At 43.9% G+C, this 23,277-nt stretch overlaps 1 protein-coding gene across 32 annotated transcripts in view, besides 1 other annotated feature; it reads left to right on the top strand.

Moving 5' to 3' along the window:
* Positions 1-23,277, top strand: part of KALRN (kalirin RhoGEF kinase) — a 692,957-nt gene that overhangs the window by 152,102 nt on the left and 517,578 nt on the right. The window lies entirely within an intron of this gene.
* Positions 22,423-22,472: an enhancer, noted in NCBI's record as "active region_20395". NCBI's record gives its function as "activates an Ori minimal core promoter by ATAC-STARR-seq in GM12878 lymphoblastoid cells {active_cell/tissue: GM12878}" and the evidence as "EXISTENCE:reporter gene assay evidence [ECO:0000049][PMID:35858748]".

Below are 23,277 nucleotides of genomic sequence, written 5' to 3' on the forward strand. Positions count from 1 at the left end.
CTTTCTCTCGGAGCTCTAATTAAAGCTGTGATTGTGGGGCTTCTGTGCTGGATTGTATCCACTGTGATCCTCCAAGGTTGAGGACTCGCCTTCCTTGGCAGGTCTGTCTGGTGCTGACTCTGTCGTGAGCAGTAGTTGCTCCAGAGTTTGTTCCTTCCTGTTCCTCTGGTCAGAGTCTCACCATGAGATGCCTTCAGCTCAGGCGAACCTGGTGCATAGATGGCACCAGTTGTCCTCTGCCTTGCTCTGGGGAGCTGCCTCATAAACCTGCAAAGTAGGTGGGGAGAGGGAGAAGAGGATCTGAGGTAGACCAAGGCCACTCAAGGGTCATTTGTCAGCCTAGCACTGAGAGGGTGGTAGTGCCCCTCCCCTTTCATTGTCAAGGCCACTGGTATACTTGTTTTTACCTGGATTGTAAGCAGGTTCAGTGCAACAGGCAGGTGCTGGGTGGTGCCAGTTGCTGGGAGATGGAGGAAGACCTGTGGTATCTGCCCCTGGGTCAAGGGAATTGCCCTCTGAATCAGGTTAGGAGTGGCAGAGGCATTGTTAGAGTCACACTTTCATGGTGAGCTGGAATCAGGTTACCTGGTTTCAGGGCCCAGCTTTTTTACCATGGTTTCTTCATCAGAGAAAAAGGATGTTTTCAGTGGAGTATCTTCATAAGACCTTGAGGGAAAGTTGGTAGAGAGAGGATACAGGACTCCTCTGAGGAACAGCAATGCCCTTAGAATAATGCAGCCTCAGAAGGGGCCGCCCTTGAGGAGCATAGCACTCCTGGATATTGTGTGTCAGGCGTCTCTTGAAGACATTTACCCCAGTGGTTAGGTACATGGATTCTCAAGCCAGGCTTCCTGAGTTCAGTCCTGGTTCTGTTATTTCCCTTCTCTGTTCCTCAGCATTCCCAAATGTAAATAGGGTAATAGCAGCAGCAAACTCCATGGGGTTGTAGTAGGGATTAAATGAGTGAATAAGTTAAAGATGATTAGAAGCAATGCTTAGCAAATGTGTAACAGATGCTATTTTAAAAATCTTAAAGTGTGATTGCCTTTTATGGTAAGTTCCAGAGGTGAGACCTTGTCATATATACTACTGAATCCATGCAGTGCCCAACCAGAACCTGTCCTAAGCAGGTGTCCAGTTATTTACTGGATGAAATACTGAAATCTACAACTTCCCTAGTTTATGTGTTCATCAGCAGGGAGCTAAGGCCAATAAACATGTTCCTCTTTCCCTAGGAGTAAAAACCCTCTCACAGTTCCCCTAGGGAATCATTCCTTTCAGTTCAACACAGTCCAAATTTCAACCATTAAAGTAACTCGTTCCTTTGACTTAAGATGTTTTGCTCCTGAGGCCTCATCAGTCCTCCAAGCCTGAGTGTATCCAATTCCTCCTGAGCAGGGTTTTTGACAGGGGTGATGGGACACTTGTTTGCCAGTTGGGAGGAGGGGTAGAAGATGGGAATGATGCTGAATTATGCAGGTGATTTATTTTGAAGGGGGATCTTAATGACTTGGCAGCATTGCTCAGAGCTCACCTTGGTGCGGGTGGGATATCTTGCTGAAAGACACAGTAATTAGGACCTGGACATGTAGATTGAACTATCTTTGTTTTTTATCTTTTCTTTTTTTGAGAAAGAGACTCACTCTGTCGCCCAGGCTGGAGTGCAGTGGCTTGATCTCAGCTCGCTGCAAACTCTTCATCCTGGTTTCAAGTGATTCTCCTGCTTCAGCCTCTTGAGTAGCTGGGATTACAGGTGCCCACCACCACGCCCAGCTAATTTTTGTGTTTTTAGTAGAGGCGGGGGTTTCGCCATTTTAGCCAGGCTGGTCTGGAACTCCTGACCTCAGGTGACCCACCTGCCTTGGCCTCCCAAAGTGCTGGGATTACAGGTGTGAGCCACCATATCTGGCCTGGGTATGTCTTTATTGGCTGTGTGAGAACAGACTAATACACCATCCAAACACAGGGCATATGTCAGGAAGGTGAGGCAAGGATCTTCAGCAGCTGTTCAGTCTCTATTGGCAGAAGTCCCTAAGCCTCTGGTATGAAAGGCCATCTTCACCTAAGTTTCTATTCCCCTGGAGATTTGGGTGCTGTGGGGAGGGGCAGAGAGGAGAGAGGCCATGAATGGCAGAGTAATCAGCCAGGAGAAACCCAGTTGTTTCTGAAAGTATCTTTAGCAAGGTGCACATGGATTGATGGATAGATGAACTATAAATGGATTAATTAGAGTGCCAAGGTGAAATAAAAGAAAGGGAACAGGCCAATTAAGTCTACAATGTGGGGGTAGATTTCTGTTGTAAGTGATTATTAGAGAGTTACCAGGTGGGGAGAGATTTTAAGATTCATATTTGAAGGAGGAAGACTAAATGGCTTTGTTGAAGGGCAATTAGGATGTTTGAGCAAAGGAATATTAGGGAAAAGTCCTCAATATGTGCATTTTCACCTGGTTACTGTCCCAGTAGGGTAGATAAACTGGAAGTCCTCAACCCTGACTGCAAATGGAATCTCCTAGGGAAACATTTTAAAAAACCCCAGAAATGAAGCAAACCAACAACATACAAGCAAACAAAAAACCCACGTGTGGGCCCTACTCTAGAACAATTATTGAGACTCTTCAGGCTGCAGCCAGGCATTATGTTTTTATGTGCAGCTAGAGTTGAGCCCCCAGCATTTAGAACAAACTTAAACGTACGCAAGAATCACCTGGGGCACTTTTTAAAAAATGCAGATTGCTAGGCCTCACCACCAGAGACTCTATTCAGTAGGTCTGGGGTTGGGGGAGGAGTCTGCATGTTTTAAAAGGTCCTCAGATAATTTAGATTCTGCAGTAGAGATATTGGATTAGAGGATGTGAACATTCCAGACAGCAAGAAAATAGTCATGAGGGGTGCGCAAGGGTGGTGGAGGAGAGAAGCTCTGTAGGGAAAAGGACATTCCTGAAAAGATTTCCCTTCAGAGCAAAAGCTGCTATCATTAATATCATTATCCCCTCAGCATGGCTGGTTCTGACAGAAATTGGTGTCTAGCACCCAGATTACTCACTTAATTACATTTATCTTCAGCGTCTCTTGTAATGTGCCAGCACAAGCAGTGGGTCTTGTAATTAAGAGTATGATAGAAGGAAGTACTTTGGATAGGGAGAATGAGAGGGGCTGGAGCAGGTGTTTCAGAGGGGAGGCATGTATACTCTATTACCTGATGTCAAGAACTGTAAAGTGTCAAGGTCTGAGATTTACCCTACCTGCTAGCTAACAAGTTAGCCTGCCACAGTTTCATGGATGCTGGCAGAAGTTATGAGACTCCTGGATCAGAGACAAAGGACTTAATGACTCACAGCAAAGCAGGCAGCATGAACTTTAGCATATTTGTATTCGTACTTCTTACCCCCAAGTCCCACAGTAGCAATGCAGAGGGGCCCAGGTAGATGCTGCGCGTGCTGTGGGTTTGCATTATAGTTGAGGAACTTTGAGCTTAGGAAATTCCAGTTTTTACAAGAGGCTACAAACAAATCTGCTTTGTCCTGGGGCGGAGGCATTATCTTTCTTATACTTGTCAGTAAACAAATCTGCCCTTTGCCTCAGAGGGAAACAATATCTCTGTCTTCCAAGTCTGTTCACTATATGAACATCCTTGGAAAGATAATCTGGAACAAAAGCTATCAGGGTCTCGCTTATAAGATGTGCAGAAATGTCAGAGACCGTGGAGAACTGTCTCCCAACATTTAACATCTAAGGTCTTCCAGCAGTGGAAGCTATCCACCTCTTCTCACTATGTACCACATGTTCCAGGGAAGATTGAACATGCCAGTTAGTTTTGGTATGGAGTGGAGAGTGTTCTGAGACACTAATAAAGTACTTGTAAACATCGAAGTCTGCAAGTGTTGCTGTTGTGTGTGATGTCAGCTCATACCTCAGAACATGCAATGGATTCCAGGAGTTTTGAAAAAGGGACATGAAGGCAGCAAGTGGAAATACCCCTCTCTCTGACCATCAATTCTTGACTCTGGAGGTGTCATATATGCAAGAGTGTGTAAAAAGCAACATAGAGGGCCAAGCAAGGTGGCTCATGCCTGTAATCCTAGCACTTTGGGAAGCCGAGGCGGGTGGATCACCTGAGGTCAGGCGTTCAAGACCAGCCTGGCCAACATGGTGAAACCCTGTCTCTACTAATAATACAAAATATTAGGCCAGGTGCGGTGGCTCATGCCTATAATCCTAGCACCTTGGGAGGCCGAGGCAGGTGGATCACAATGTCAGGAGATTGAGACCCTCCTGGCCAACAGGGTGAAAACCCATCTCTACTAAAAAATACAAAAATTAGCTGGGTGTGGTGGCATGCGCCTGTAATCCCAGCTGCTCAAGAGGCTGAGGCAGGAGAATCACTTGAACCCAGGAGGCAGAGGTTGCAGTGAGCTAAGATTGCGCCACTGCACTCCAGCCTGGCAACAGAGCAAGACTCTGTCAAAAAAAAAAAAAAAAAAGCAACATAGAAGCGAGAATTTATAGAATGAACTTTTAAACAGAGCTTCACAGTTCACAAAGTACTTTACCAAGCGACAATTATTTCTCCATTTTCTGTATATAGGCACTGAAGAATGTAGGAAATGAGACTAATTAGAAGCAGGTCAGATCCCACTTACTGCAGGAAGCAACTCTTGAACAGGGCTGAAAGACAGCAAAGGACTAGGATGAAGAAGAGAAGGGAAGGAAAGAACAGAGGACATTCGGATAGGCAAAGAATAGTGTGAAAGCCCAGAAGCTGAAACAAGCAGGGAGCTTCGTATGGCTGGCCCCCCACTGCTCCCCTGAACCCTTCTAGGGCCTCTGATGTTCTCCCCAGTGGAGTTATATGTCTGAGCACCATCATTTATCCTCAAGACCCTACCTTCCCCCTTCCCACCATCACTATTTCTGCATTCATCTGTGGGCATTGGAGCACAATCTTAATTGAGCCTGGGGTTTGACCAGATTGCCACTGAAGACTGCCAGAACACTAGCCAGGCGTTTCATTTATCTATTTCTGACCCCAAGACATGGTGGCATAAACAACCACCATTTTATTATGCTCATAATTTTGCACCGCAAGAATTCAGGCAGAGCACAGTGAAGATGACTTATCTTTGCTCCACAATGCTTGGTACCTTAGCTGAGATGGCTCTAACAGTTGGAATGGGTGGGAAAGGTGTATTAGGGCCATATGTAGGGGGCTTTAGTTCTGTCTGTAGTTACAGTAGAGATAGGAAAATGAAAATGTTTTTCCTAGTCTCAAACAAACCATGCAACACAGAAAAAGGTGTGGGGATTTCTCCCCACCAGCAGCCAATCAGTTCTTCAGCAGACACCAACTGGGTGCCCTATAATTAAATTCAATTCTGACATTATCTACCTGGAGGCAGCATTGGATTCCACAGATTAAGGGCTTAGTCCCTAAGTGTCCCCAACTTCAGATACCAATCATCAGCCCCAGGTTGTGACCTGTGCTTCTGGCCAACCAGCTAAAAATTGGGGTTCGCATGATCCCCTCTTCAGATTCAGTTAATTTGCTGGAGTGCCTCAGGTAACTCAGGGAGACATGGTTTACCAGTTTATTATAAAAGATACTAAAAGGATACAGAGAAACAGCCAGATGGAAGAGATGCACAGGGCAAGGCATGTGGGAAATAGTTTCTATGTCATTTCTGGGTGTGCCACCCTTAAGGAACCTCCACATGTTCCACTGTCCAGAAGCTCCCTGAGGCAGTCCTTTTGGGCTTTTTATGGAGTCTTCATTGTATAGGCACGACTGACTAAATCACTGGTTATTGATGATCAACTTAACCTTTATTCCCTCTCCCTGCCCCACTCCTGAAGTTGCAGGATGGGGCTGAAAGTCCCAACCTTCTAATCATGCTTTGGTCTTTCCAGTGGCCAGCCCCCATCCTGAAGCTGCCTAGGGGCCCCCAGCCACCAGTCATCTTGTTAGCACACAAAAGACACTATCACTTGAGAGATTCCAAAGGTTTTAGGAGCTGTATGTCAGGAGGTAGGACAAAGACCACATATATTAATATTTCCACAATATCACAAGCTGCCTTCTTTTTCTCCCCCTACATTGTGTCTGCTGGGGCTGGAATGTCTAAGATGGTTTTTTTAATACCATATCTGATGCCTGGGCAGGAACAGTTGGGCTGGCTATTTTTCTTTCTTTGTTTTTCTCTCTCTGTATAGTCTCCCTACATGGCTAGCTTGGGCTTCCTCACAGCATGGTAGTCTCAGGGTAGCCAGACTTCCTATTTGGTGGTAGGCTTTTCCAAATGTGAATGTTTCAGGGGCACTGGGCAGAGGCTGTAAGGCTTTAGGAGTCCCAGAATGTCTCTTTTACTCCATTCCATTGGTCAATGAAGCCACCACAGCCAATCTAGATCCAAGGGAATGGGAATTAGACTCTGTCTTTTAATGGGAGGACTAGGGAACAATTTGTGGCCATTTTTAATCTACAACACTAGGTCTGGGCAGATCAAACCATATCTCCAGGTGAAGGGCCTGGGAACCTGTGTGTTCAACAAGTGACCCCCTAGGGGACTACTGTTATCAGGAAAGTTTGGGAGACACTGGTTGGTATAGGCTGAATTTTGTCCCACCTAAAATTCATATGTTGAAGCCCTAACCCCCAGTACCTCAAAATGTAACTATATTTAGAGAAGAGGCCTTTAAACAGGTGATTAGAGTGAGCCCTAATCTGATATGATTGGTGTCCTAGTCATTTGCAACAACATGGATGGAACTGGAGGCCATTATGTTAAGTGAAATAAACCAGGCACAGAAAGACAAATATCCCATGTTCTCACTTATTTATGGGATCTAAAAATCAAAACAATTAAACTCATGAACATAGAGAGTACAAGGATGGTTACTAGAGGCTGGGAAAGGTAGTAGGGGGTTGAAGGGAGCGGGGAGGTGGGAATGGTTAATGGATACAAAAAATTAGAATGAATAACAACTGCTATTTGATAGTACAATGGGGTGACTATAGTCAATAATAACTCAATTGTACATTTTAAAATAAAGAATATAATTGAATTATTTGTAACTCGAAGGATAAATGCTTGAGAGGATGGATACCCCATTCTCCGTGATGTGCTTATTTCACGTTACATGCCTGTATCCAAACATCTCACATACCCTGTAAATAATATGCACCTACTATGTACCCACAAAAATAAAAATAAAAAAGGGGATATTGTACCTACAAAGAGATACCATGGATGTGTGTGCACAGAGGAGAGGCTGTAGAAGGACACAGCAAGAGGCCGGCCATCTGCAAACCAGAGGCCTCAGAAGAAACCAAACCTGCTGACACCTTTTAATCTTGGACTTCTAGTTTCTAAAACCATGTAAAATAAATTGCTGTTGTTTAAGCTACAGTCTGTGGGGTGTTTTGTTATGGAAGCCCTAGCAAAGTAATACACTGATACCATGAGTTAACTATTAAACTAGGCATTGTTTGCCTTGAGTTAATTACATATGCATAAAACTTACATTCCCCAAAAATTGTCAGCATATGTACTTCTATTCTTTATTGACCTGACCTAGAATCTATCTGATATTTGATCTAATGTTTACTTGCTTCCTGTTGGTCCTGGGCCTGTTTGCCTTCAGATCCATCCCAACTTCTGTCCTGCCATTTTGCAGGGTGCCAACCCCTGTAGACTGCATTTCCCAGGCTCCATGAAAGTTGGCTGCTGGCAGAGTTTAGCCAGCGGAAAGCCCTGTTGGGAGATTGAAGAGTGGAAAGAAAGCGGGGAACTGGAGTATCCTTCCTCAGCCTCTCTCACTCCCACATTTTTATGGGTGAAGAAATGAGGCTCAGCTGTCCTGGTTCCAGCTTCCATGGTATGACCCTGGTTCCTGGTCATCTCTGGGCTTTTTCTACATTCTTACTCTCTTTTTAGCTCTCCTGTCATCTGGATAAGCTATTTCCTGAATTGAATCTAGTATGTTTTTAATTCTTAGTATGATTTTTGTTTTTCTGGGTGGACCCTGAAAGATGTACTCTTTTAATATTTTCTCCTAATTTAATGAACCACTTAACACTTCCCTATTTCCAAGTTCACTCCTACTATACTCCTTTCTACATATACAATCAAATTTAATGTTCATTCTGGAATTTCTTTAAACTACAACTTATGGCATTTCCAAAAGAAAGACACAAAACTAAATGAAAAAATAGCCATCTTTCAGAGTCCAACCTGCCAGTGATGACCCCTCTTTAACCTTTGGTATATGCCCTCGAGTCTTTGTTTCACTTTTTTCTTTAATATATTTTCCCTAATATTTTTTGCAATTTTACATAGTTTGAGCTCACAAAGTATATCTATTTTTGCATCCAGTCTCTTTTAGCTTGACATTTTATCATAAGCATTTCCCTATTTTTTTAAGAACTCTTTATAAGTATCATTTTTAACTTGTGAAAGGAACTAAAAAGGTAGAATTAGGGAGGATTCTGACTTATGAAATTCTGTACTCCAAAAAGAGTGTTCCAACTAGGCTTTGCATCTGTATCTCTCAAACTAGTTGCTCAACAGATATTCACTGAGTGCTTACAGTAACCCTGGTATGGTGGGAGAACTGAGGGAAGAAACCATCTGGGGACAGAGACTGGTTAGGAAGCCAAGAGAACACCTATGAAGCAATTAGAGAGCAAGAGAAGGTTTCCAAAAAATTAGTTGCTAGGTGGAGTGCTCCAGACAATGAGTATAATAAAAGAGCAGAAGAGGGAGCGATCGATGTGGGCTGGACTTGTCCCCAAAAGTCTCTTCCTGTGACATGATCTGAATAGTGAGTGAACCATGGGCAGGATTCTGGTAGGTCTGGAGGAGACGGAAGGAACTCCAGGGTTAGGAGGCTTTGGTGTCAAGCATACCTGGGTCTTAGTTCTGGCTCTGTCATCTTTACTAGTTCTGTGATGATAGACAAGTTACGAGCCTCCCGAGGCTTCAGTTTCTTGGTGGTAGTGATAGAACTACCTACTGCATGGAATGAAATTCTGTAGTCAGAAGAGTTCAATCTTATTTCTTCCTACAAGGATTAAACATTCCCCCAGGTGAGGATGGAAATGAATAACTTCCATGTAAACACTTGCTATGGATTATTAACTATAGCTAAAACTCCATTTTCATGTTACTGAAAGCATAAATGGCTTGCCCTACTAAGACAGGGGAAGTTAGTATCTGAGTTAGTATTTGAAGGTGTATCTCCTGGTGCAGCTCAACCCAAGGGCACTGAGCCCTCTCCCAGTGCTCCTTGTATGCCAGGTACTGCCAGAGCCCTTGGATCCGTGTGGTTTCTCAGATTTCAGCTTGGCCCTGTTCCCTTTCTGGGTGGGCCCTTATCTGCTGTTCCATGAGAAAAGGGTTGCATGCTGAGGAGAAATGAAGTATGTTTGCTAAGGACACCTATTTGAGGACTCTGAGCTGGTAGACCTGAGTTTTAGGAAGAGAAGGCAGTGATGGTAGGTATAGGGGGGATGGGAGAATGACAAGTATGAGAACATTTATATGTAATTGTTGCAAATATTATAGGCCTGGTACAAGTGTCTGTGGCCCCAAATACCTTTGGAATCTGTTTGCAAAGTTGGCTTATTACTACTAGCAGAGATTTGGGGAAAAGAAGTAATGAAGAGGGAGAAACCACATACACTCTTTCAGAGGGTGCAAAGACATTTTTACTATAGCCCCTCATTAATGAACTTCTCTCCTGGAGGTTAGCCAAGCTGATGGGGGCTTGCCAGACCTCACAAGGCCTCATTCCTCCTTCCACAGATGAACTTACCTTTCTTAAGACCTCCTATGAGACCTACCTCTTGGGATGCTGCCTTTGCTAAACTGATAGGTTGCCAGCTCCTGTGTTGGAAGGATCAAAGGATGGAGCATGTACAAGTACTTTGTTACTGGTGGGGAAAGGGTCCTGAGGAGCTGGGTCTGACTTTCTAAGAGCCATAATAAAGCATGTCCACATTTGTGGCACTTCGTCCTGAGGCTCCCGTGTGCTGTCAGGGTGAGAGGAGGGAAGAAATCTTTTTCCCCTCCTCCTCAAGGGCCATGTAGAATCACCTGTCTTATCCAACCTGCCCTAAAAGGGGAAGGTCTTGAAATAGAGAACCTCACTGAACCATGCCCCTGGATTCTATGGGCATAGAATTGGCTCCACAAGAGCCTATCTTTGCTTCCACTCTCATCTACCTCTTGACTCCATTGTTTGGATAACAATGAGGAGCTGAGTTTAGCAGCTGAACATGGGGTGCTTTGTCCATGTTTCTGCACAAAAGGACAGCTGCTGAAGTCTGCAAAGGCCTGCCTACCTGCCAGAAATCTAATTTCAGACGCTTGCATCAAACTCACCTGCACTCTAGTGCACTTCTATAATTGTTTTGGTTCTTGTCAAAAGCGCTCTTTTGCTTTGGGAGAAGGAAGAAATTCACAGAGGGAAAGGGGGAACACCAGGGATCTTTCATCACCGACTTTGTCCTCAGGGCTTGGAACTCTTTCCCCAACTGTCCACTCTGAATAATGGGAATAAATGGGAAAGGATTAGGGTGTTTTCCGTGACCCCACTTGTCTTAATTGAGAACCCCTAGAATTGCCCCTCAGTGATGTTTGCACAATGTACATGATCCCCTCTGATTATTGTGGCCAAAGCAAGCATCCCTGATTTATCATTTAATTCCTGGCCCTTATTAGGTTGTCTATCTTAGTCTCAGACAAGCTGCAGGTGGGGTCTTTTTCAGGTTCACTGCTGAGGTTGTTTTAAAGGCCAGTTGGGTATGTGAGGGCTCTGAAAAAAAGTGAGGTGCTCTTCCCATGAGAAGTCTTACTGCTGTTATTACAGATAATATAATAATAATGGGGACTGCTGCTGCCATTTCCTAGATTGGAGAGGCTCAGATCCTGGATCACAGACAGAAGAAGAGAGAAGGGCAGGGTGGAGGAGGGGCAGCAGTGACAGCCAGGAATTTTTTATAAGCTCATATCAAAGAAATTCCTCAGGAACACATTTCCCTTAGAGCTTTTTTTGGCTGCATTGAAGTTGGTCTTTCTTTTCTTCATTTCTGAGGGCAAAAGTAGTTTCCTATTCTTCTTGGCTACTTATTTCTAAATCTTCATTTTGTTTTCTTGATCATCTAAATACATACACACATATATATGACAAAAATAAAGCGTACACACTTTATAACCTTTTTAAAACCTAAACACATTGTTCATGAACATCTTTCAATGTTGTTACATTTCTGGAAATTACTTTTAATGACACAATAGTATTCTGTCTTATGGCTGCATCTTGATAATGGCAGTACTACTAATAGCGAATGTTTATTGAGTGATTTCTTGTTCTACAGTTATCTAGGAATATATCAAGCCCTGTACTAAGTAATAATACTAGGAGGCAGGTGCTATCATTATGCTCATTTACAGATGAGGAAATGGAGGCTTAAATAATTTAAGTAATTTTCTAAAAGTCACACAATTCTTGAGTGGTAGAGTTGGGATTTAACCTAAGCATTCTGATTTCAGACCCTACACACCCAACAATTATGCTATGCTACCATCATTTATTTCACTACTCTCTTAGTGTTGGACATTTTGGATTTTTTTTTCATTTAAAAAGATTGCAAACCCTGTCGTTTACCCTTTGCATACATCCATAATGATTTTCTTGACTAGATTTGCCTTATATAATTCTGTCTTTGAATAACATGGTAACTCCAGACTCCTAGCATGTTAAACTTTGTCTCTGTATTCTATATTGTAAGTTTTTATTTGGTTTCCTGAACATCCATGATGCTGGGGAGAAGATGCTTACTTTCTGCAGGTGCATTATTCAAGAGCAGCCCTCTTGCTAATCAAGCCCTTGCTTCTGGCCTCTGGAAGCAAGCCTTGTGTGCTACTTATAAACAAACACCCAGAACACAGTCTTCTCCTTCTTCTTAGTTTATCCTGTTTTCATTTTATCTTGTCTCGTAGATCCCAGATTCTACCAAACCACATCTTGCCTTCATCCTCAGCCTTGATCCTTCTAGCTAGAACACTTTTCCGGTTGTGGGCAAGAACTTTCCCACACGTTCTCTGCCTGGTTCACCCTCCAGCCCAACCTCAGTGTCTCTTGTGGACATCTTGTAAAGATAGACCATTCTAATGCTGTTTCCAAGGGGCTGCCACTTGCTCCAGCCCTTTAGCAGGGACGTGACAGGCAGGGCTTGTCCTCTGCCCTGACCACAGACCCTATACTGCTGTGCATAGGGAGGGATTTATCAGGAGCCTTCCTATCTGTTTTTCTTGCAATGCAGTTCATCTAGAAATGTTCCTTCTATCTGCCAGGTAATTGTCCTCGTCATATCTCCAAACATGCCCCCTGCATGTTCTTTTCTGTCCCCACCTTCAGCTGCTCTCCGATGGTTTCCACCAGAATGCTACCCACAGCTCTCTTATGGTGCACACTTAGTGATTCAAATGACTTCCATGGATTCATTCTCTGGACCCATATGCAATTCTCCAGGCACTGTATGATTTTTAAAAAACAATACCACATTTATACAGACCCAGAGAGACAGACATATAACAATGAGGTATTACTTCTCTTTTTAGCTAGATTTCTGATCGAGGAATTAAAAGCTTCGTGCTAAATGGGGAAAGAAGGGTAGATTTTGGATGGCAAGAGGAACTTTCCCTTGCTTACTCCTAGAGGTCATCTAACCTTGGGAAGTCTCTGGAGTGTGGTGCTGAGAAAAGCAGACATGGACCTTGGACAACACTGGGTTTGATTCTGCACTCCATAACTCATGATTTGTGCAACACAGTCAAGTTTCTTAACTTCTTTAAGCCTGATTTTTCTCATCTGAAATTGGGATAATAGCAACTTAAGTTTATTGTATTAGATTTCCAGAAAATGCGTGTCAAGTCCTTTGCCTTTCCACAGCTTGCCGCACAGTAAGTGCTCAATATTGTTTTCATTAAAGGCTTCTGAGGTGGGAGGGCTCAAAGAGACAATTTGTGTTCTCACTGTTGCAAATGCTTCCCTGAGGGGAGGATAAGCTGGGAGCTGCCTGGCTGAGCTACCAGGGGCTTCTCCCAGGGAGGGCAACATCCCTCAAACAAAAGTTCATGACATCCTCTTGATAAGGAGTTCTTATTCTGGGTTCATGAGTGAGCTTTTTTGGAGGTCCATTCAGCTCCTATAATTGCATGGAAATTTTGTGCATGTATGTATACATGCAATTTACGAAGACAAAAGTCTGTGGCTTTCATCAGATTCTGAAAGGGGTCACTGACTCTAGAGAGGTTAGGAATCGCTGCTCTAGAAGCTCCTTTGGCTCCTGCATTGTTTTCTTCCATCAACAGTGGCTGCGGACTATACTGGGCAGGAATGAGGGATCCAGAGCAGAGGCTGGGAATGGATCATGGGGCCTCAGCCAGAATCTGGAAGTACCAGGAAGCCAGAGGCCCAGATTGTGTGATCGGTCAGTGCTAGGAGAGAGTCAGGAGCAAGGATGGGACAGGTACCAGGGATCAAAGTAAGGCATGCTGCAGACCTAAGGAGGCTAAGGAAAGGCCTGAAAGGCTAGAGATAGGGAGACTTTGAAGCCGAGGCCAGGCTGCCTGTTTCACTGCTGAACTGAGTTCCTGAGTGGGAGACACAGGTTGGAGCATTGATACTGCAGTGCATGCCTGACATTCACTCTTGCTGCTTCCAGTCTAGGCTTCTTCCCATTTCCCTTTCCTCTGCTTTATTTGCACCAAGAATTCTCCCTGCCAGGGCTCCAGAGCCCATTCTCCTCAACTTCTCACACACTCCACACCACCCCAGAAATGCAGAAAGATCTTTCCCAATGCCTTAGACCTCTGGCTCCTTGGACTCTTGCATCCTAAAGAGTTTCTGGATTTGTGTTGAACAGCCCACATTTTGTCCTCCCTGGGATCTGTGGAGTCCTAAATTGGGCACCCACAGGAGAGTGACAAGCTAGTTTCCTTTTATACTCTGGAGAGGGAAAAAAGAAATGTAACAAGAAGGATTGATGTTTTGCATTCATTTATTCAAATAATTTTTATTAAGAAGTTACATATGCCAATCACCATGCTAAATGCTGAGAAAATAATACTGAATTAGATGCAATCCTTTTTTCTTAAAGAGTAAAGGATCTTGTGCAGAAGTCAGAACAGTGGCCGGGCAATTACCATGCAGCGATCTAAGTGCTCCATTGGAGGGGTATGTGGCTAGCCTGAGCAATATGAGCCTGTACAGCAACACACATCAGATGGGTAATTGTAGAAGCTTTAGAGAATGTCAAGATCTGTTTCAGCTGTTTGAGGTGGGTGGAGTGAGGCAAGATAGACAAGATGGCCACTGGAAGGCATCATCTATTATTGGATTTGGTTTTTTAGTACCTCTTGTGGGTGAGTTTTGATAGAGCATCCTACCAAGATGCATGTTCTTTTGGCAAGAGTAAGAGGTTCCTGAAAAGGTTTTTCAACCTTCTCTGGTATTTGCCAGATTCCCCATGACCGATCCTCTTCTGCATATGTCTAAATTTTGAAATGGGAAACTAGCATCATAAACAGGAAGGTGGGTGGCTGCAGCAGTGGCTGCAAAACTCAGGTATGCAGTGTGAGAAGATGGTCAGTGGTGTAATGAAAAAAGTACTGGGTTGACAGTAGAAAACTGGGTTCCTAACCTGGTGCTACCACTAGTAAGCCGTGGAATATTTGGTAAGTAACTTCTTTCTGAGCCTCTCCCTCAACTTATAAATGTGGAATAAATCGTCTCTGCTGTCTTAGTTCATTTGGGCTGTTATAACAAAATACCATAAACTGGGTGGCTTACAAACAACAAACCTTTATTTCTCATAGTTCTGAAGGCTGGGAAATCCAGGATCAAGGTGCCTGCAGATTCAGTGTCTGGCGAGGGCATGTTCCTCATGAATAATGCCTTCTGTGTGTCATGGCAGCAGGGGCAAATGGGCTCTCTGGGGTCTTTTTTAAAGAACACTAGTCCCATTCATGAGGGCTTTGCCCTTAGGACCTAATTATCTCCCAAAGGCCTATCTTTAAATACCATCACGTCGTACTTAGAATTTCAACATATAAATTTGGGGCAGGGGGACAGAAACTTTCATTCTGTAGTTCATGCCTTAGAGAATTGTGGTGAACAATGCATGAGAGAATGCATGCAAAAGTGACTCAGCATGTTACATGGGAGGGGTTACATCTGGGAGCCTGAGAGGCTTTTCTAAGTCTGGGGTATATTTTTTTCACAGCTTTTCACATTGAGAGAGCAGAAATTAAGAGCCACCCTACACCATCCCTCTTGGGAGGGTGGTGTAAGTGTCCTTTTGATTTGTGAATCCGTATGTATGGCATAGATAATGCAGGTTAGTGTACTTAATATCTATTCCAAAAACCTCTTTCCTTCCTTTATTATCAAGGATAGAGAGTGAAATACTTAACTTCCCAGCTTCCCTTGGCACTAAGGAAGATGTGACACAATTTTGACTATTGATATACAGGCACAAGCCAATGGGTGATCTTCTCTTCCTAAATAAAGGTAAAGCCATCCAAAGAAAAAGCTATTTGCTTTTCACCCTCCTTCCTCCCTAGAATGGGGATATGATGCCAGGAGATTCTGCAGCCATCTTGTGACCAAGAGACAAAGGCCACGTATAAGACAACAGCCACCATTGAGGCAGCTCTGGAATGCCAGGTCCAACCTCTTACTTAAGACAAATAAGCACCTTACTTGTTTAAGCCATTATGGTAGAGCTTTCCGTGACTCTCTGCCAAATCCTAATGTAGGATTCTGAAGTCTGGGAAGTCCCGGCTGAACTTGGGCTCAGAAGCTGGTGGAGATGCTGCATGGTGCAGGCCATCCCTTCCTTGCAGGAGGAACAATGGCTGTCCTTGACTCCATCTGGCTTAGCTCCTGGTCACTCCAGTGTCTTGGCACTTCCCCTGGAGGACTGGAGCTTTGTGTGTGTTTTCTTTTTTAGGAAATAAGAAAACATCACTAGTATTCAGAAATTTTCCCTTCCTGAAATAGAATCCTTTGGAAAAAAAAAGGATTTAAAATGCTGTTCTCGTCAAAAAACATTTATAAAGTCTTGGTGTATGGTGGCTATGCTGTGGTCTGTACAGGTTGATGGATGTGATCTCCATCCTCCTAGAGCTCCTTGTGGGAAGGCAGATGTGTAGACCTCCCCCTGGGTGCTCCTAATCTAATGGAGGACACTGAGCATAAACAAGTGATAGACCTGGGAGTGTTTGCTTTTTGAGAATGTTTAACTTTTGAGGACTTATAAATTAAGTCTATAAATGCAGCTAAGGGAGTGGTTCCTGTCTTGGGGGAGAAGTGGCTTTTACTTGGGCCACATCTATGTCTCTAGCTAGGTTTGGCCCTTGGAGCCCTGACCAGCAGCTGCTGAAAACGAGGCTCATGCACTCAGCAGTCTGGGGCCAGCTGGAGCCCTGTGATGGGGCCAGGCTGGGCCAGATGCTGGGGCGGAGTGGGAAGCACTTCTTGTCACATCTAATCAGTCCCACTTCTTCCTGTCTCCTACCTCCCTTCACTTGCAGGGGAAAGCACAGCAGCTTCAGAGCTAGCTCAGGTTGCAAGTATGAAATTTTATGTGCTTGGCATGTTTCATCTACATGGAAGTGATTTGGAAATTTTACATTAGGAAAAACATCAGCATGAAGATCTGGAAAGTTCCCTCTTTGTGTAGAGAAGTGGCAGCCACTTCACTTTAGTTTTTTTGTTTGTTTTGTTTTTTTGAGACTGGGTCTCACTGTGTCACCAAGGCTGGATTGCAGTGGTGCGATCACAGGTCACTGCAGCCTCAACCTCCCAGGCTCAAGCGATTTTCCCACCTCACCCTCCCAAGTAGCTGGGACTATAGGTGCGTGCCACCATGCCCAGCTAATTTTTGTATTCTTTGTAGAAATGGGTGTTTCACCACATTGCCCAGGCTGGTCTCAAACTCATGGGCTCAAGTGATCTGCCTGGCTAGGCCTCCCAAAGTGCTGGGATTACAGGTTTGAGCCACCGTGCAGCCTACCCTAGTTTTTTAATGAGAAGTCGGGTAACCTAATTTTCTTTGAACCCTCCCTCCTCCTCCTCCTCCTGGTCTCTTTTCCTTCACCTTCTGTGGGGCTCTCTATCCACCCTTCCAGCCTGCCTGCTCCATTTGTGGTATTTGCTTGTCCCTTCTGTGATTATTTCTTACAACAGATACAATGGGGGCCCTTCCACCATACTTTTGCTTCATCACCTTTTCTTCAAGACACACCTCTTCCCCTCTGGAGAGTACAAAATGTGATTCCCTTAATTCCTGAGAATCTTCTAGAGTCTCTGGAGCTCTCAATGCTGCTGTGGTCCTCTGAGGCTATCCTGCTGCCCTTCTGGCTGTCTGCATCTCATTTGCAGTGTGTCGTGCCAGCTGGCAGGCTGGGCCGTCAGCACTCTCCACTCGCAGCTTTCTTGTTTCCTTTCCTCCCTGACAGTTCTGGTGGTTGCTCAAGTTCCATTAATGTTTTATGTGCTGCCCCCAGGAACCTTGGTTGCAGTACTCTGGGGAAGTTCCCACTCCTCCTTCCTCCTCACTGCAGAACTTTGAGGATAGAGAGATCATTTGTTTCCCAGAAACCTGGTGTCATCGGTCATCAAGCTTCCAATTAGCTGAAACTCAGTGCAGCAGTTTGGGGTGCCAACATTCTCCCTGACCAGGGAGGGAAAGCTCCCAGGGACAGTGATAGTCTGGCTCGTTATCCCTGAGCTGAGAGTCAGCCTTCTCATTAACCCATTCTCCTGGGCTCTTCATTAGCACTTCTGACCAAGACAGGTTCTATTTGATTGTGCCCATTTGGTGGGGATGGAAATTAAGACCAAGGGAACCAGGAGGCTGGGTTTCAGGTCATGTAGTGAGTTGAGGGCAGAGCCAGGCTAAAGCTGATATCTTGTTTTCTGACTACTGGTGCTGTGATTAGCATCTTCTATTGTCCTCAGGGGACTGCTGGAGCCTGCCATGGGCTGCTGCTGGAAGAGAGAGGTTGGAGGGACCCAGGCAGCAGCTTCCATGGCTTTATACGTATTGCTTGGAATAATGTTCCCAAAGCCGAGTGATAAAGAAAAATAATAATAATAGGGCAATAACTAACACTGACCTCCTCTATGCCAGGAATTGTGATAGGTGCTTTCTGTCTTCCAGTAACCTACCAATTCAGGAGTCTTCCCATTTTACAGTTGAGGATTCTGAGACTCAGAGACATTAAGTAATTGCCCTCCAAAGGTAGCTAACAAATGGCAATTAGCCTTTCTACCTTACACTCAGAGTCCTGCTAGATCTATGTGAGCAACACGGGTTTGAATTGCGTGGGTCCACTTATACATGGATTTTTTCAACCAAATGCAAATTGAAAATACAATATTTGCAGGATGTGAAGCTCTTGTATATGGAGGGCTGTCTTTTCAAATATGTGAGTTCCATAGGGTCCTCAACTGCAGGACATGAGTATGTATTCTTGGGTTTTGGTATACGCGGAGGTCCTGGAACCAAACTTCTGTGTATACTGAAGGGCCACTGTAATTGCAACCTCTTCAAAAATGGGAATCCCCTGTAGATCTCTGTTCTAAGTATTTTTCTGTTCTCTGGCCAGTCAACCTTACATAGGTTTCTTCATAGGACCCTTTAATTGCCACAATTATTGTTTTGCTCTTATGCTTTTATGAGTCTGTTCATTATGCTTTTATGAGTCTGTTCAGCTCTGGCAAACACAATTCTTTAGACTCATTGAATCTAAATATAAATGTAGATACCAAATTTTCTACTTTTAAAAATCTTCTAAACCAAATGGGATGATCAGCCAGGTTTAGGAACAAACTGCTGTGGGCTACAAATTAAAACACTAATTTCTTTATTTTTCACATGGGGATTATTCTCCACATGTGGAGTGTTTACTTTAAAAGAAAAAGAAATGAATGCAGGCTTACTGCCTGTAACCACTCCATAAGCTTCTATGCTCCTTTCTCCAGATATTGGATTGGTGCATACTCATCTAATTAAGATGCACTTTGATTCAAGAAGTTAAATGTTGTGTAGATCAAAGAAAAAAATTCCAGTCATTTATCTTTGGCTTTGGAATTCATCATGTGATTTTATCTTCAGCTTTGGATTATCTGTGCTGCTGCATTAATGTGCTAACTGCACGTTTTTCTTTTTTTAAAATAATCCCTGTTTTAGAATTTACCTCAAGGGACCTGTGATGCCTCCCCCATCTCTTAGTTTAAAAACTAAATCTCTAAGGTCTTTCTTTCCAAAGCTGTCCTCCGCACTGCTCCAGAATTTAACTGCCTCCCCACCTAAAACTAGTATTTTCTTTCCAAATTATTTCTTATCAGCTTATTAGGAGAACTCCTCATGGAACTGTCAGAAGGTTGAGCTGTGTTAAGGGAGACATACTTCTTCCTCATTCCCTTGTGTCTTTGTAACATTTGCTTTTACTGTTTCAAGTTTTTGTTTGCAAAGTCTGCAATCCAGGAATTATTTCCTTATTATTGGTCCTGAAATTCCAACAAAACAGCGTCAGGACATAGTGTTGCCTTGCCATACTGGTCCAAATAGGAAGGCATAGTCAGTGACGTGCTGGCAATGTTTCCAGGGAAGAATAAAAGCCCTGGTTGTGGTGTTTGTAACATTTGCTGATTTCTATTGTGTAAATACTCCTATCATAGCAGATTTCAAGCTACCAACCTGTTTAACAACGAGCTGGCAAAAATTCTGAAAATTACAATTAGTTCTCAGAAACCAGAACAAGCAGGCTCTAGCACACCACCAGGTGTAGATAACTGTTTTAGGGAGCACTCCAATCAGGTGTGATATTTTACACAAATGAAAATCGCTCTCGCAGCTCCTACTTGACAGTCGTGTGACCTTGGGCAAATCATTTGACTTCTATGAGCCTCAGTTTTCACATCTATGAAATGCAGACAATAATATCTATCTCATGAAATAATATGAGAGGATTTAATGAGGCAGTTACTATAATGGGCCTGGCATATGGTATGAAGCAAATGATTCTTCCCCTCCCTGAAATGCTAGAGACACAGAGTAGAAGATAGCGGGAGAGTTTTGAACTTTGGGTACCATTTAATGGAAACACCTACTGGAGGTTGGAGATGCAACTGGTTGAAAAACAAGGTCAAATATTTAGATTTGGGAATCAGAACAATAACAGTATAGTACCTTATGTTCATATCGCTCTCTAAAATTTACCTGATACTTTCACGTGTGTTTGTAAGAGGTGTGAGAGTGGAGGAACTCTTAGGGAGAAGAATGGAGGACCTGTCAAATCCCTGGCAGCTGGTATCTAAATTCTTCCAAGTTTTCCCCTCCCCTGTGCTCATTATTCTGTTTCTCTTTGAGTTCTCCTGCCGTTTTTGTACCTAGATCACTGACATATTCTTGTTGCTTTTAAAGAAACCATGTGTATTCTTTATAAAATACATTAACACCTGACATAAGATTTTGAGGTAGAGATAGAAAGCAATTTCTTCAGTCTCCACAGTTTGCCACCCTGATATTAATAAGAGAGTGTTCCCTGCTTATTGGTCAGCATAGGTTGATGGCTGTAATAACCAGTAAGTATCAGAGATCACGTAATAGAAGATTATTTCTTGCTCTTGTCATAGTCTCCTACAGATGTTCCTGGTTGATGACAACCCAGGACTTACCCTTTCTATTCAGTAGCTTTGCTCATAGGGCCTCAGAGTCCTCCACTGAACACTTTGCACCCAGCCATCCGAGGATAGATGAGAAGAGAGAATGTGGAGGACATACATGTGGGATGATTTTATGAGCCAGTCCTGGAAGTGGCATATGATACTTCTGCTCACCTTCCATTGACCAGAGCTCAGTCATACAACTGTTCCTAACTGCAAGGGCGGTTGGGAAATGTAACAGTCGTGTGCTTCAGAAGAGAGAATGAGCTTGGTAAGCATCTGGCCAATCTCTGTACCAACCTTATATGGATTGGTGGAAATAGTCACCACTATGGATATAGGTCAGTCCAGGTCACCAGAGACGACTTCTTGTGCTTATTGCATAGGGTTTTCTGGGTAGTGTTGCATGTTGAGAAATACAGCTTCATTCCCACAGTTAGACTAAGATTTCATCTAAGTTAGACTTATAGCATTACATGAGTTTCCAGGACTTTCCAGGACTAGAGTGCTTTGCTGAGTGTACCAGCTGGTTTTAGTCAACACTTGAAATTGGTAATAATATTTGCTGTTGTGTTTATAATTACCACATCATTAACAGTCAATGGGATGGGGAATTTCATGGGACTCTTCATTTCCATTTAGTCACTTATTATTGTCTAAAATGCCTCAGACAGTCTTCTGTGGATTGTTTTTGTCACTTGCCTACATGAAGAAGACTGATTTCCCACCTCAGAACATTGGCGTTGGCACTTTCCAAGGGGTTGGTAGAATGTCTGGCTGAGAGTGAAGGGACTATTGGGCTAGCTGGAAGAGGCAAGCAGCAGCAGTGAAATACATGGGATCCACTGGAACATCACAACAAACAAGAAGTTTCCCTCAGGTCAGCATCATCATCCAAGGTGAGGAGTCCTGCAAGGGAGAGTCACCAGAGTTTGCAAGTTGGGGGAGACATTCGGGATCAGGCTAGTCTGTGGTTCCACATTACTGGGCCATCACTCCATTCCTGGCAGGCCCCCAGGCAGTGACTAGCGGCACATAGACATCCTTCCCTCCTTCCCCTGCCAGGAAAGGGGTATGGCAAGGGATGGGCAAGGCCCTAAATAGACAGGTGGGGTTTCAGAGCACAGTGCTAGCTGTAAGTTGCTAATTATAGGGCTCAGCAGGAAACTGAGGTAGAAACCTCTGTCCTGTAACTCTCTGTCTTGTAACTGTCCCGAAACTCGGGGGCTGGGGATTCATCCCAGGCACATCAAACAGCGTGTTTGAGGCTGCACCAAACATGGCTATGTCCTAACCCTAAAGAGATTGAAGTTCTGGATATGTCCTATCCAGGGTGACTTGGGAGCTAGATGAGACAGATCTATATGTATGAGGCTTCATGCACAGGCTTTGGAATAGGATAGACCCATATTCAAATCCTGACTTTATCCTTTCCTAGCTCTATGACCTTGGGTGCATTATTTGCTTTCTCTGATCCTCAGTTTTTCATCCATAAAATGTGGGAAACAATATGTACCCCTTAGGGTAATTGAGAGAATTAAGCAATATAGATATGCAAAGCACTTAGGAGCCTGCACTTAGGAAGTAACCCTTAATAAATGGTAGCAAGCATCTACCACAAAGTCCCACGAAAGCAGCAAGAACAAAACAACAGTAAGCAGGCCTTGGGAAGGCAGGAGCTGAAAAGTGGGCTCATGTGATGCTTGATTGTGTTCTGTGAGGTAAGTGATCACCAGTGGGGCAGGGGTAACTTGGTCTGCCTGCTGGCTTTACCAGCTGGGCTTTCCACAGACATTGTTAACAGTGAGACTGGGTACACGCTTTCCCCCCCAGTTCAGTGTCCTTAAAATGGAAAGTAGAACTACTAAGTCAGCCCACATCCTGGCCATGCAGCTTCTTTGGTACTTTCCACCTCACCGCTTGAGGACCTGCGCTTTCTCCTGGCAGCCTGCAGCGTTATTATTACACATTGTCTTCTAACACGCACATATGTAACTAGAAGCACAAAGGTCCCTAAAATGGTAGGAAGGGGCTTTTCCTGTACTGGCACTCAGCCTCTAATGGCTGGAAGGTTGAACATAAATTGCTTTGACCTTGAGCTTCAAATGCTGTAAGTCTGGAGGGCTGCCCATGCCTTGGAAAGAGATTGGCCTTCCCTTTAAGACAAGCAGGATGAATTATGAAAGGAAAGGGACTTCTTCAAGAATCTTGATTTTTAAAGAGCTTGTATATACTTTTTTGTATATAACAAAGTTAAAGGAAGGGCAGATAGCTCAACTAAACCTAGCAATTAAAGTGAGCTTGTGAACAGTTGTGATAGAGCAGGGTTTTAGCTCTCTGCTTGGGGAAGATGGTCTGTTACAGAGGGAGATGAAGAAGCCCTGTTCTCCTGCTTCCACTGTCTCCAGCCAAGAAAATGCACTTCAGATTAGAAAATGCAAAATAGATTAATTCATATAGAACCAAGAGCCAGCCAGGTACAGTGGCTCATGCATGTAATCTAAGCACTTTGGGAGGCTGTAGCAGGATGATCACT

The sequence above is a fragment of the Homo sapiens genome, chromosome 3 (genome assembly GCF_000001405.40).
Source record: "Homo sapiens chromosome 3, GRCh38.p14 Primary Assembly".
NCBI lineage: Eukaryota > Metazoa > Chordata > Mammalia > Primates > Hominidae > Homo > Homo sapiens.